Source organism: Homo sapiens, chromosome 1 (genome assembly GCF_000001405.40).
Source record: "Homo sapiens chromosome 1, GRCh38.p14 Primary Assembly".
Taxonomy (NCBI): Eukaryota; Metazoa; Chordata; class Mammalia; order Primates; family Hominidae; genus Homo; species Homo sapiens.
In genome coordinates, this window is record NC_000001.11 from 183,793,520 (window position 1) to 183,807,388 (window position 13,869).

Consider the following 13,869-nt stretch of genomic DNA (forward strand, 5'->3'; position numbering starts at 1 on the left):
AACTGACAAGGGACTAATATCCAGAATATATAAGGAACTCAAAGAACTCAACAGGAAAAAACAAAACAAAACAATCCCATTGAAAAGTGGGCAAAGGCTCTGAACAGACATTTCTCAAAAAAAGACATACAATTTGCCAACAGGTATATGAAAAAAAAATGCTCAACATCACTAATCATCAGGGAAAGACAAAAAAGAATGACTATTATCAAAAAGACAAAAAATAATAAATGCTGGTGAGGATGCAGAGGAAAAGAAACTCTAATACAGTGTAATGGAAGTGTAAATTAGGATAACCATTATGGAAAACAGCATGGAGTTTGTAAAAAAAACAACTAAAGAAAGAATTACCATGCGATCCAGCAATGTCACTACTGGGTATTTATCCAAAGGAAAGGAAATCAGTATATCAAAGGAAATTAGTATATCGAAGGGCTACCTGGACCTCCATGTATATTTCAGCACTATTCATAATAGCCACGATATAGAATCAACCTAAGTGTACATCAGTGGATGAATGGGTAAAGAAAATGTGGACACACACACACACACACACACACACACACACACACACGAATACTATTCAGCCATAAAAAAATGAAATTCTGTTATTTGCAGCAATGTGGATGGAACTAGAGGTCAGTATGTTAAGTGAAATGAGCCAGGCACAGAAAGACAAATATTGCATGTTCTCACTCATGTGGGAGCTAAAAAAAAGTTAATCTCATGGAAAAGAATAGAATGATGTTTACCAGAGAGGCTGGAAAAGGTGGAGAGGGGGATGAAGAAGAGGTTGCTTAATAGGTGCAAAGGTACAGTTGGAAGGATTAAGTTTTAGTGTTTGATAACACAGTAAGGTGACTATAGTTAACAGTAATTTATTATATATTTCAAAATAGCTAAAAGATTATTTGAAATGTTCCCAACACAAATAAATGTTAAATGTTTGAAATGATGGATATCCTAATTACCCTGATTTGCTCACTGCACATTGTATGCATTTATCAAACTATCACATGTACCTCACAAACATGTATCAATAAAAAAGTCCTCTTGTTCACACTGTTCATTTATCTTTTAAGAAAATTTTTTAAAAATCTGCCAACTGGCTACTTTATTCCCACCTCATTTACCTGAACTATATGGTCCACTTCTCCAAACAAATATCATCTCTTTCCATCTCCTTTCAACATGCCATTTGGAAGACTCCTCTTTCTTCCTCCCCAAACATATTTCTCTATTTCTTCAAAGGTGGTGGTTAACACAGCCTTAATAAAAGCTGAAATTACCTGGTCCTTTAAGAGCGAGTACCACCTGACTCATTTTCTCAGTGTCTCAGGGCTACATTGTTAGTCTGCCCTGCTCTCTTTATCTGTACTTGCTGATGTGTGGCTTTGTAACATCATGTAGTCATTTTCTTTATGCCTTTTCTCTGCTTTTAGAGTACAAGCAACTTTAAGGTAGAGACAATATCTAAGATTTATTTATATCATTCAACTATAATTACTAAGTACTTGCTGATTTTGTTTTTTTGAGACAGGGTCTTGCTGCATTGCCCAGGCTGGTGTTGAATTCCTGGGCTCAAGTGATCCTCCTGCCTCAGCCTCCCTAAGTGCTGGGATTACAGGCATGAGCCACCATGTCCAGCCACACTTACTGAGTTTATAGCATGGTATCTATCTATATCAAATTATTTATTGAGCATCTGCTATGTGCTAGGCACAGTGTGAGGTGCTAGAAATACAGTGATGAGAAAAAACTGACATTACCCATGCTTTGATAGAGTTAACAGTCTAATGGGAGAAACGGGAGAAACAGACATTTATCAAATAATCATACAATTAAGTGTAAAATTACAACTGTGATAGAGCTACAAAGAGAGGAATATGGTACTATGAGAGCACATAATAGGGGTATTTAACTGAGGTGGGAGAGGAGAACAGGGAAGGATGTCCCAAAGATGGAGAACCACATGAGCAAAGGCTGTGTGAAGGGAGGGAGCCAGATATGTTCAAGACATTGAAAGAAGACTGGGGTGGCTGGAGCCCAGAGAGCATAGGTAGATTAGAGGAAGGAAGCTGAAGAGGCAGGCAGGGGCTAACCTGGGCAAGGCCCTGTGGCATATGAAAAGGCTTTAGGCTTTTATACTGAGCAATGAGGAGCCACTGGAGGGATTTAAGAACAGGAAAGGATAGTATGGGGTTTTGAGAAGATCACTGTGGTCACTGTGTGGAGGATAAATTAAAGTGGGCAGGAAAATCAAGCTTGGTGTTTTTCTATGTTGTGTAGCGACTCAGTAAATGTTGCTCATTGACTGAACAGTTTGTGGGGCTTATAGTTCTTGCTGTAATCTCTATATTATGACGTTTGGCTTCAAGCTAAAAAATCTTGAGCTACTCAAAATACGGGTCTAATTTTTAACATAGTCTCCTAAGCATTTGCAATTCATTGACCTAACATGTAGTAGTAACAGATAATAACAATGATGATGATAGACAACATTATCTAGTATCTAGAGTTTAGTATCTAGTGTCTAGATAATAGAAAACATTATGTATGCTCCTGAGCACTGTGCTAAAGGCATGATGTCAATTATCTTAATTAATTCCTACTATAAGCCAATGAGGAAGGTGTTTGTATTCCTATTTTTTTTTTTTTTTTTTTGAGATGGAGTCTCGCTCTGCCACCAGGCTGGAGTGCAGTGGCGCGATCTCGGCTCACTGCAACCTCTGCCTCCTGGGTTCAAGCAATTCTCCTGCCCCAGCTTCCCGAGTAGCTGGGATACAGGCACATGCCACCACACCCAGCTAATTTTTGTATTTTTAGTAGAGACAGGTTTTCACCATGTTGGCCAGGATGGTCTGAATCTTTTGACCTTGTGATCCACCTGCCTCCGCCTCCCAAAGTGCTGGGATTACAGGCGTGAGCCTCTGTGCCCGGCCTGTATCCCTATTTTCTTAGAAATACGTTGTGCACGTGTACCCTAGAACTTAAAATATAATTAAAAAAAGAAGAAATAGGCTTAGAGGTGTTAAAGACCTTGCCTCAGAGAGAAGTGGTGGGACTAGGACTCAAATCTAGTTGTCTCTAACTGCAGAGCCTTCACTCTTAGCTACTTTGTTATAGAAGTTCTAGTTTATCTTGGTTTTCAGTACCATTTCAATACCACTATTATGAAAAAGGAGATTCCTTCAGTCCCACAAAGAGATATGATTTAGCTAATTGCCCAGTAACTCCTTCCTCAATTTTGGTCAAAGCCTCCATGGCATCAGCTCACCCAGCTCCCATTCTGCAGATGTTTTATTACATGTCACACAACCTGGCATTATTTCTGAGTTGATGGTTGTATGTTTTGATCTTTTCAAACATGTGGACAAATTTCTGGCTGGCTGTCCTTTTTTCTTTTACAGAAATATATAATTAGATGAGGTAATAATGCTCATTAGCCCAAGTTACAAATAGTATTTCAGTATCCAACTTCCTCCTTAGGAGAGCATCATCACTGATTAAGAATAATTGCCAACAATTGGCCGGGCACGGTGGCTCACACATGTAATCCTAGCACTTTGGGAGGCCAAGGTGGGTGGATCACTGGAGGTCAGGAGTTTGAGACCAGCCTGGCCAACATGGCGAAACCCCGTCTCTATAAAAAATACAAAATTAGCCGGGCGTGGTGGTGGGCACATGTGATCCCAGCTACTTGGGAAGCTGCGGCAGGAGAATCGCTTGAACCCAGGAGCCGGCAGTTGCAGTGAGCTGGGATGGCGCCACGGCACTCCAGCCTGGGTGAGAGAGCAAGACTCCATCTCAAAAAAAAATTATTGCCAACAATTGGTAAACTATTAGTTGAAAAATGTTTGCCATCATGGCCGGAGGAGCTCTCTGCCTTTGGCCTACCATCTGCTAAGTGCTATTTGCTTGTTTCTTCTGTCTTCATTTTCTATACCCTAGGGCAGCCTCTTCTTTAGTTGTAATACGTCTGCCTAAAGTGGGCTTGTAATTTGCTTGCCTAAATATAAAAACGTAATAACAGAGCATTGAGAATTTTTCACTCATACCTTATAGTATTTCTGTGATAACTAATAAAATCAGCTTGGTCCCTCAGAAAATGGAAGCAACGGCTTACTGGTTAAGGAGTTTTCAGAGGACTGGTCATCTTTAACCAAACATGACTGGCTCTTTACCCTTTGCAAAGGAAGGTTGAAAGTTCAAGCAAAAAGCAGGTGAAACCACAGTTATCATAGCTAGGAACAACCATAGCAGAATGCCCAACTGATAGTGGAAAGCTGAAGATGGAAAGTTGATTGGTAAGCAACACAGGCTGCAAACCTAAAGAATAGGGAGAAGCATTTCATAGGGATATTGGAAGAAATAAATAGCTTTCATATTGTTGGAGGAAGGAATCAAGAAATACCAGATTTATTTGCTTATGTCCTCCAAAAGGTTTTATGGATCTATAATCTTTATTATAGTTTATGAGTAAATTATTGCAAAAGGGCAATTATCAGTTTTGTTCAAAAGTCCACTACCAGTGAGTGGGAGAAGTTTCACATTAGTCTGCTTAGGTAGTGGTTATAGGTAAGTAGAGGCAATTTGTGCTCAGTAGTACTAAGGTGTGGAATGGAAATCCTGCCCTCTCACTTATTTATTTTTCTTCGCATGGTATTATTATTATTATTGCCCTCTCAGGACTGCTTTCTTCTAAACTTTTGACTGGGCATAGGACATTATAGTGCAGCATTCAGTTTGAGGATGACAAAGCCAAGGCCTTCTCATTTCTTACCATTTTATGTTGATATTGCCATCTTCAAGGCAAGTTTTTTTAAAAAACAACTTTATTGAGGTATGACTGAGATGCAGAATGCTGTACATATCTAATGTATACAACTTGATGAGTTTGGGGATAAGTATATTCCCATGAAACCATCACCACCATCAAAGCCACAGATATATCATCACCTCCCAAAGCTTCCTCCTTCCTCCTTTATTATTATTATTAGTATATTCTTATTATTTTGTGTGTGTATGTGAAGATCACTTAACATAAGATCTACCCTCTCAGAAAATTTTAAGTATATAATAGAGTATTGGTAGCTATTAGGCACTGTGTTATAGACCTGTAGTAGATCCCTAGAAGGTATTCATCTTGTATAATTGAAACTTGGCACCCTTTGACCATCACCACCACATTTCTCCCACCCCCTCACCCTGCCAATCACCATGCTACTCTGCTTCTATGAGTTCGACTATTTTAGATTCCACATGTGAGACCATACAGTATTTGTCTTTCTGTATTTGGTTTATTTCACTTAGTATGTATTTCAGGTCCATTTATGTAGCCACAGATGGCAGGATTTCCTTTTTTTTTTTTTTTTTTTTTTGACGGAGTCTTGCTCTGTCGCCCAGGCTGAGTCTTGCTCTGTCGCCCAGGCTGGAGTGCAGTGGCACCATCTCAGCTCACTGCAAGCTCCGCCTCCCGGGTTTGCCATTCTCCTGCCTCAGCCTCCCAAGTAGCTGGAATTACAGGCGCCCGCCACCATGCCTGGCTAATTTTTTGTATTTTTACTACAGGCAGGGTTTCACCGTGTTAGCCAGGATGGTCTCGATCTCCCAACCTCGTGATCTGCCTGCCTCGGCCTCCCAAAGTGCTGGGATTACAGGCATGAGCCACCATGCCTGGCCTCCTTTTTTAAGGTTGAATAATAATTGTATCTGCAATATTTTGACTATTGTGAATAATGCTGCAATTAATATGGGAGCGCAGGTATCTCTTTGAGATACTGATTTAAATTCTTTTGGATAAATACCCAGAACTAGGATTGCTGGATCATATGGTAGTTCTATTTTTAATTTTTTAGGAATCACCATACTGTTTTCCATAGTGGCTGTACCAATTTACTTTCCCAACAATAGCATATCAGGGTTCCTTTTTGTCTGCATCCTCACCAACACTTGTTTGTTTTTTGATAATGGCCATCCCCACAGGTATGTGTTGATATCTCATTCTGGTTTTGTTGCATTTTCCTGATGATTAGTGATATTAAGCATCTTTTCATACACCTGTTGGCCATTTGTCAGTCTTCTTTGGAAAATTGCCTGTTCAAGTCCCCTGTCTCATTTTTAAAATCAGGTTGGTTCGTTTGCTGTTGAGTTGTATGCGTTCCTTATATATTTTGGATATTAACCGCTTATCAGATATATGGTTTGTAAGACAAGTTTTTATTACATACTTATTTCGAAGTACAGTGTCCATTATACTTTCACTGTCCTTACTTTTCTGTTATGCAATATAATATCTTGCCCAGGTAAAAGTATAAAGAATACTCAGGTTACAAACCAAAAGCAGTAAACAAATACAAAATTACATTAAAGGGAAATGGTGTGAAAGTAGAGAGAGGAGATACATTTTTATTCAATGCCTCCTATGTTCCAAGTACTCTATCAGATACTTTACATAGTATATTTCGTGTAATCCTCATGATAAGCATGACAAGAGACAAATGAGAAAAATAAGGCTGTGAGAAGTGAGGGTCAGACTCTTGGTTGGCAAGTCATCCAGAGCTGGAATTTAAACTCATATGCCATATGTCCCATCATTTACCCAGACACATAAATATCACTCCATATCATCCTACATAAGTACATGCTGTCATAATTTTTATATTTTTTAATTCTTCTTGCAGCCAGAGAGGTAGAATAAAATGTAGAAAAATGTGGTGTCATAGAGACCAATGAATACATAAATAAATGAATGAATGGGGTATATATATTGTATACTTCCATTTCTAGACAGACTCTATTAAAGAATCAGCACACCAGCTGCTTGCATTTGCTCTTTATCTATTGGCTCTGGTAAAACTGTAAAGCAAGAAATTTTTTTTTTCTCCCGTTTGTTGCTCTTCCATACCTCTTTCCTCTTATATGCTAGAACTTTTCTGTTGTTACTGTCAGTGTACACCAAATATGGCAACACAAAACTATTCCTAGAACATACTAATGCTTAAATATAGATCTTCCCCTATTTAGCAGATTTTCGTGTGTACAGTACATTATTGTTAACTATAAGCACAAAGATCTCTAGAACTTATTCATCTTGCATAACTGAAACTCTGTACACACTGAACAGGAATTCCTCATCTGCCCCTCTCTCCAGCCCCAGGCAATCACCATTCTACTTCCTGCTTCTAAGAGTTTGGCTATTTTAGATACCTTATATAAGTGGGATCATGTAGTATTTGTCCTTCTGTAAGTGGCTTAGTTCACTTAGAGTAATGTCCTCAAGGTTCATCCATGTTGTTGCATATGACAGGATTTTCTTTCTTTTTAATACTTAATAATACCACATTTTCTTTATCCATTCATCTGTTGATGGACATTTAGGTCGCTTCCACCTCTTGGCTATTGTGAATAATGCTGCAATGAACATGGAAGTGCAAGTATCGCTTTCAGATCTTGATTTATTTTGGTTAAATACCCAGAATTGAGATTGCTAGACTATATGGTAGTTCTCTTTAATTTTTTGAGGAACCATACTGTTTTCCATAGTGGCTGCACCATTTTACATTCCTACTAACAGTGCACAAGGGTTCCAATTTCTCCCCATTCTCACCAACACTTGTTATTTTGTGTGTGTGTGTGTGTGTGTGTGTGTGTGTGTGTTTAATAATGGCCACCTTAACAGGTTTGAGGTTACATCTCATTATGGTTTTGGTGTGCATTTTCCTGATGATTAGTGATGTTGAGCACTTTCTCATATATGTGTTGGTCGTTTGTATGTCTTCTTAGGAAAAATATCTATTCGGGTGTTTTGCCCATTTTTAAATTGGGTTTTTTTTTCTATTCAGTTGTAGAAGCTCTTAAAATATTGTGGGTATTAACCCCTTATTAGATACATGATTTGCAAATATTTTCTCCCATTCCATAGGTCATTTATTCACTCTATTGATTGTTTCATTTGCTGCACAGAAGCTTTTTAGTTTGATGTACTTTCACTTCTCTAATTTTAATTTTCTTGCCTGTGCTTTTGGTGTGATATCCAAGAAATCATTGCCAAGGCCAATATAATAAAGCTTTCCCCCTATATTTTTATCTAAGTCCTTTGTGTTGCTATAAAGGAATACCTGAGAGCAGGTACTTTATAAAGAAAAGAAGTTTATTTGGCTCATGGTTCTGCAAGCTGTACACAAGAAGCATGACGCCAACATCTGCATCTGTTGAGGGCCTCAAGCCACTTTAGTTCATGGCAGAAGGGGAAGGTGAGGCAGCGCATGCAGAGATCACATGGTGAGAGAGGAGGCAAGAGAGAGATGGGGGTCATACTCCTTGTAACAATCAGCTCTCACTGGAACTAATAAAGTGAGAACTCACACAATACCTTGAGGATGGTACCAAGCTATTAATGGGGGATTTGCCTCCATGATCCAGACACCTCCCATTAGGCCCTACCTCCAACACTGGGGATTAAATTTCAACATAAGATTATGAGGGGTCAAACAAACCAAACTATAGCAATTTTCTTTAAGGAGTTTTATAGTTTCAGGTCTTATGTTTAAGTCTGCAATCCATTTTGAATTGATTTTTGTGTATGGTGTAAAATAAATGTCCAATTTCATTCTTTTACATGTGATCTAGTTTTTGTACAAATGTTTTCCCAGCACCATTTGTTGGAGAGATTATCTTTTCCTTGTTGTATATTCTTGGCATCCTTATTGAAGATCAGTTGACCACATATGCTTGGGTTTATTTCTGGGCTTTCTGTTCTGTTCCATTGATCTGTGTGTCTGTCTTTATGCCGGTACCATAAAGTTTTGATTACTGTGGCTTTGTAATATGTTTTCAAATCAAGAAGCATGAGATCTCCAGCTTTACTCTTCTTTTTCAAGATTGCTTTGATTATTCAGGATCCTTCGTAGTTCCATTTGAATTTTAAGGTTATTTTTGCTATTTCTGTCAAAAATACACTTGGGATTTCGGAAGGGATTGCATTGAATATGCAGAAAGTTTTGGATAATATGGACATTTTAACATATTAAGTCTTTCAACCCGTAAACACGGGATGTCTTTCTATTTAGGTGTATCAGCAAAAAAAAAAAAAAAAAAAAACCCTTATAAACTAATAAACAAATTCAGTCAATTGCAAAATAAAGAATTAATGTGTTTCTATATACTAACAACAAACAATCTAAAAGTGAAATTTACAAAGCAATCCCATTTACAATAGTATCAGAATAAAGTACCTTGGAATAAACTGAACCAAAGAGATGCAAGTCTTGCTCTCTAAAAACTACAAAACATTCCTGATCTTTTAACAAAACTTAACCTATCCTCTCAGGACTCTGTTAGGTCACGGGAAGGCTAATGTGGTAAATAAACACCAACTGAGTTATAAATGGCTTACTGGTTTGTCTTCCCACATATTGACCAGGAGTACTTTAACCCAAAGGTACAGGTAATAAGGTAATATGGACTGAACTGCCTACTGATGAAATATTTTTAAATGAATATTAAAAAATTTGTAAACTGCAACACACAATTGCTCTATCTAGCATAAAGTCTGCCTCTTTTTTTGCAGAACAGCATTTGTACAAAATTACATACATTGTGAGGTGTAAATACAAATAGTTATTCTTGGAAAACCTCTCTGAAATTTTAAAGTAATTCCATGAGAAGACATCATTTCAGATTTCCTAGTGTTGCATACATAACACGCTTTTCACTGAGTCTGGATAAATATGGTTTGGGAGGAAGTACAATAAGGAGGCAGTGGAATTTTTTTGGATCACTTACCATGTGCTTGATGATTTGCATGCATTATTTCATTTGATCTCTTTCAAACTCTTTCAGGTAGATGGTTGTCCCATTTTGCAGATGAGGAAATTAAGGCTCAGGGTAGTAGCATTCAGGTTCACTCACTGCAAGGCTGGATGTGAAGCTGTATCCACTTGGCTTGAAGCTAGTTCTTTTCCCTTTACACACTAGGTGGCCAGCCAGGGAATTGGAGTACAGAGAAAGGTGAGTAGCTCTGAAACCTGAGTGGGGCCTTGTGAATTTAAGCCGCCCTGTCCAGGAAGGTTTCCTGGGAGAGTGAGGTTGAAGAAACTGCTTAATATCCCTGAAATGGAAATATTTCAGTTACTGCCAAATGTGTAGCCAAAAATCAGGTTAAAGTAGTGGTGAAGTTAATCTTACAGGTTGTTTAACTGTCCTCAGTTGCATTTCGTGGTGTCCAAGATCACCTAATAGGTCCTCTAGAGGTGGGCCTGGGTTCCTGAGGATGGCTTAACAAGCAGGGAGGTAGGGCCTTCACATGATTTTCCTCTGGTTCCCAGCAACATTCTGCCCTGATCATCATAGAAGGATTTAGTCTATGTGTTTTTCGTTCGTTTGTTTTTTAAATTATAGAACAACCACTTCAGCTTGCTAAAAGGGCATCTCCTCTCTATACAGTGATGGTGCCCTTAGGTTCTGGTTGTATGGGGATAACCTGGCTGAATGACTTGTAGATGTTCTCAAGTGTCCACAGATCCTTTTGTTTTTGCTTAATGTGCCCTTGCTGTCATTTATTCTGCTCTCCTGGGAACATCAGTACACTTGATTTGCTAAATTGTCAGCTCATGATATATTTACCATTAACCAAAACCCAGGCTTATGTCATAGTATGGCAATTAGTGGGAGACCTATTTTTTTTTTTATTTGAAGGTGATTAAATTCATTTAGGGTGAATAGTATGAAAGACATGAGCCCTAAAGGTATTTGCAATTTGCATGGAATTCTGGCAGGTGTCAAGTTTGACTGCATTATCTGGTATCTCTTGCTGTTGACTTGTTAAAACTGGATCTAAAAAAATGTAATAATCTTTTATCCCTATAGCAGATCTTTCCATTATGATAAAACTCCTGCTGGTAGTCATCTGATGAAGAACTTTTCCCTGTGGCTATGATCCTACTGTGTCCCTACAGTACAGGCAACTCAACCCATGGTGGCTACTCACAAAGACTCACAGAACCTCCAGGACACTGTCAGTCCTAGCAAAACCTTACCCTGCTTTGTTCCCTTCCCACCCCCAATGGCCAGTTACTGGGTAATTGGGGTGGTGAAAAGCCCAGCGCGATTTCCTGTTGGCAGTGTGCTGATGCAGGAGAGGGTATAGCCCCTGGGCATGGTTTTGGAATACCCGGGTGTCCTCTGACCTTATCCTCTGTCCTAATGAAAAACTTCCTGGCGTCTAGTATTGCGGCTCTCACTGGGGTCATTCTGACTTAATTATTCTAAAATCAAAATAGATAATAGGCAGATAATGGAAGTTTTTTGGACTTTCTCCTTCCATTGTTTTAGCGAAGGAAGAAGACACACACAAATCCTCCATCCCACACTCAGTTCTATTTTGGCACCTGGTGACCGTCAGGAAAACCTGATAAACTTGAAAGTGTTGTTTCCCAATCACCTTCAGAACTGGAGAAACGCTTTCATGCTGACTTTATCCATGGGACTGAAGAAAGGGAGAGTGTGCTCACAAGCACAAACAGGAAAGCCTTACATCACGGAGTGGCGTGGGGAGGAGTCTGCTCCTCGCTTGCTCGCTCGCTCGCCGCGCTCCCTTTGTGGCCCGAGTCGCGCGCACCGGCGGCGGCGGGGGCAGCGCGGCGCGTGTCTGTGCGCTGCGGTCGCTCGGGACCGGGACCGGGGCGAGGCGCCGCGGGGCTGAGCCCAGCAGACATTGCGTTGGCCTCCGAGCAGGGCGCATCATGCAGCGTTCGCGCACCGGAGAGAAAACTGAGAATGAAATTGCTTTGGCAAGCTAAAATGGTAACGAGAGCTCTCTGCCTTCTCCCGAGGCTTCTCTGGTGGGGAATCTTCTCCCGCTTTCGCTGGGCGTGTTTTGGACTCCCTCGGAGTGAACGGAGCAATCCGATTCCATACTTGTGAGCTAAAGCTCTCTCACTCCGCTTTGTATTCCTCTCTCTCTGCGTGTCTTCTCCCTTTCAACCGTACCTACTTTCTCAGCAATTGCCTGTGGTGTGTCTGGGGCAGATGCATGTCAGGAGGGGAGAACTTTGAAGGAAAAAGAACTGTTAGTGTGGGTGAACCGCGGAGCGCTTCTGCGTCCCAGCGGCTCTTTAACACAAACCTCAGGTTTAGCTGGGGACATGGAAATCCAGGGGGTCGCTGCACAGATTTTAGTAGAAGCTGCCTGATGATGTGTTGCTTTTTCTGCACTTGCCAGATTATTTTACGGAAATAAAAACTTTCCACCCCCGCTAACTTTGTGGGCTCCAAAACAATGAGGAGAAAAGACAAGCAAACCACTTCACTTCCAAAGGAGTGAGGACTCTTGGCGTTTTAAACACTTGTTTGTGTCTGAGTTTAAAATCTGGTTTCTTCAATGACCGAGCCACTCTAAAAAGTACAGACTTATTCTTTTCTTTTTTTCTTTTTCTTTTTCTTTTCTTTTCTTTTTTTTTTTTTTTTTTTTTTTTTTTTTTTTTTTTTTTTACAAAGAATTATTTTTCCTTTCACTTAAGGGGGACAAGTTAATCAGGACTAATCTAGTTTCTTTGTAAAGAAAAAGAAAGACTTCAAAACAAAACTATTTAAGATATGTGAGCAAGTCTAGGAGAAATAACTAAATGGAAAAGTCAGGGGATCCTGATACCACAGGAAGGGACTGCAAGCCAAGAAAATCTCAGCATTCCCTCTATCAAAATGTGTCTTGTATTGCGGATTGTAATATTTATTTTGAACAGCCCATCTTGTGCCCTGAGTGCTGTTGTAAGCAGCAAGGCAGCTGGGATAGATTGTGGTTAGCAGAGAGGAAAAAAATACTCTTTTTCTTTCTCTTTATCCCGTCCCTGGCAGAGCTCGATTCAGGACTGGGGTGAAGAGGTAGAGGAAGGAGCTGTTTACCATGTCACCCTCAAAAGAGTCCAGATTCAACAGGCTGCCAATAAAGGAGCAAGATGGCTAGGGGTGAGTAAAGCTGGCGAGATGGTGAACTTTGGAATTTCAGTGTCTGTCGTTCTGTGAATATCATTATTATTTAACAGAGGCAGGCTTTTTTTTTTTTCCTCTTTTCGCTTTAAAAAGGAAAATGCTAATGACCAAGTGTTTGCACTAGCTGAACAGGTCTCTTTTTGTATTTAATGTTTTCAAAAGCATCTTCCCTAGGTTTGTCAATAATTCAGAACCTCTTAGAAACATCTTGAGGTCTTTGGCAAATAGATTGGGGGTGGAGTGGCAGAAAATGACACACAGAATACAGGCCCAGAGAGCAGCACTCTCTTAGACAAGAGCCATAAGCAGCTTTGCCCAGAAGCCACCCTTGTCTCTCTCTGCCCTCCCCCAATTGATGCTGTCAGCGTCTGCCTTGCTCCTATATCTCTAGGAGGTACCCAGATTGCTCAGGAGACAGAGCATTCCAAGTCTGCATCCTTTGAGGGGTGGTAGATTTCCTATTGTGATCTCTTTTCTATATCTTGGGAGGAGGCAAATGGATGCTTAGTACCCACTACTTTGTGTGTAGAGTGGTGGGCCTTTGGAAAAATGCTGCTTCTGTAAACAGGACTCTTTTCCACTGAGATTGTAAAATATTGGGTGAGGTCATGCAAGTTTGTAGGTATCACCTAGTAGATCCTTCAACACATCCCAAATAAAGCGAATATGAGAAATGGAAAGCTCAGCGACAGGATCACTACTTGGGCAAATGTCAAACATGTGGAAGAATGAAGGGATTCTTGATCTGGAAGGAGAAGTAGTTCTCAGACCAGGCGGTGAGAGGCGACCCAAAAAGCCTTGAGAAAGAAAATAATGGTTGGCTGAATAGAGGGGGTGGAGTGTGATTTCACCTGGCTGGCCTTATTTTAGCCGATGGGC

At 40.0% G+C, this 13,869-nt stretch overlaps 1 protein-coding gene across 13 annotated transcripts in view, besides 1 other annotated feature; it reads left to right on the forward strand.

Annotated features, from left to right (window-relative positions):
• The window catches only part of RGL1 (ral guanine nucleotide dissociation stimulator like 1), a 292,424-nt gene that overhangs the window by 157,411 nt on the left and 121,144 nt on the right, over positions 1–13,869 (forward strand). For 6 of the 13 annotated variants that reach the window (XM_011509339.4, XM_047415682.1, NM_015149.6 and 3 more), the window contains one exon: positions 12,856–12,966. The exons of 4 other annotated variants lie outside the window; for them this stretch is intronic. In XM_011509339.4, coding sequence (XP_011507641.1) covers positions 12,856–12,966 — 111 coding nt within the window. Of the gene's footprint in view, positions 1–11,600; positions 11,806–12,855; positions 12,967–13,869 lie in introns of those variants that run through there. 3 more of the 13 variants (NM_001297671.3, XM_017000756.3, NM_001297672.3) reach the window with 1 other exon arrangement.
• Positions 13,221–13,280: an enhancer, noted in NCBI's record as "active region_2222". NCBI's record gives its function as "activates an Ori minimal core promoter by ATAC-STARR-seq in GM12878 lymphoblastoid cells {active_cell/tissue: GM12878}" and the evidence as "EXISTENCE:reporter gene assay evidence [ECO:0000049][PMID:35858748]".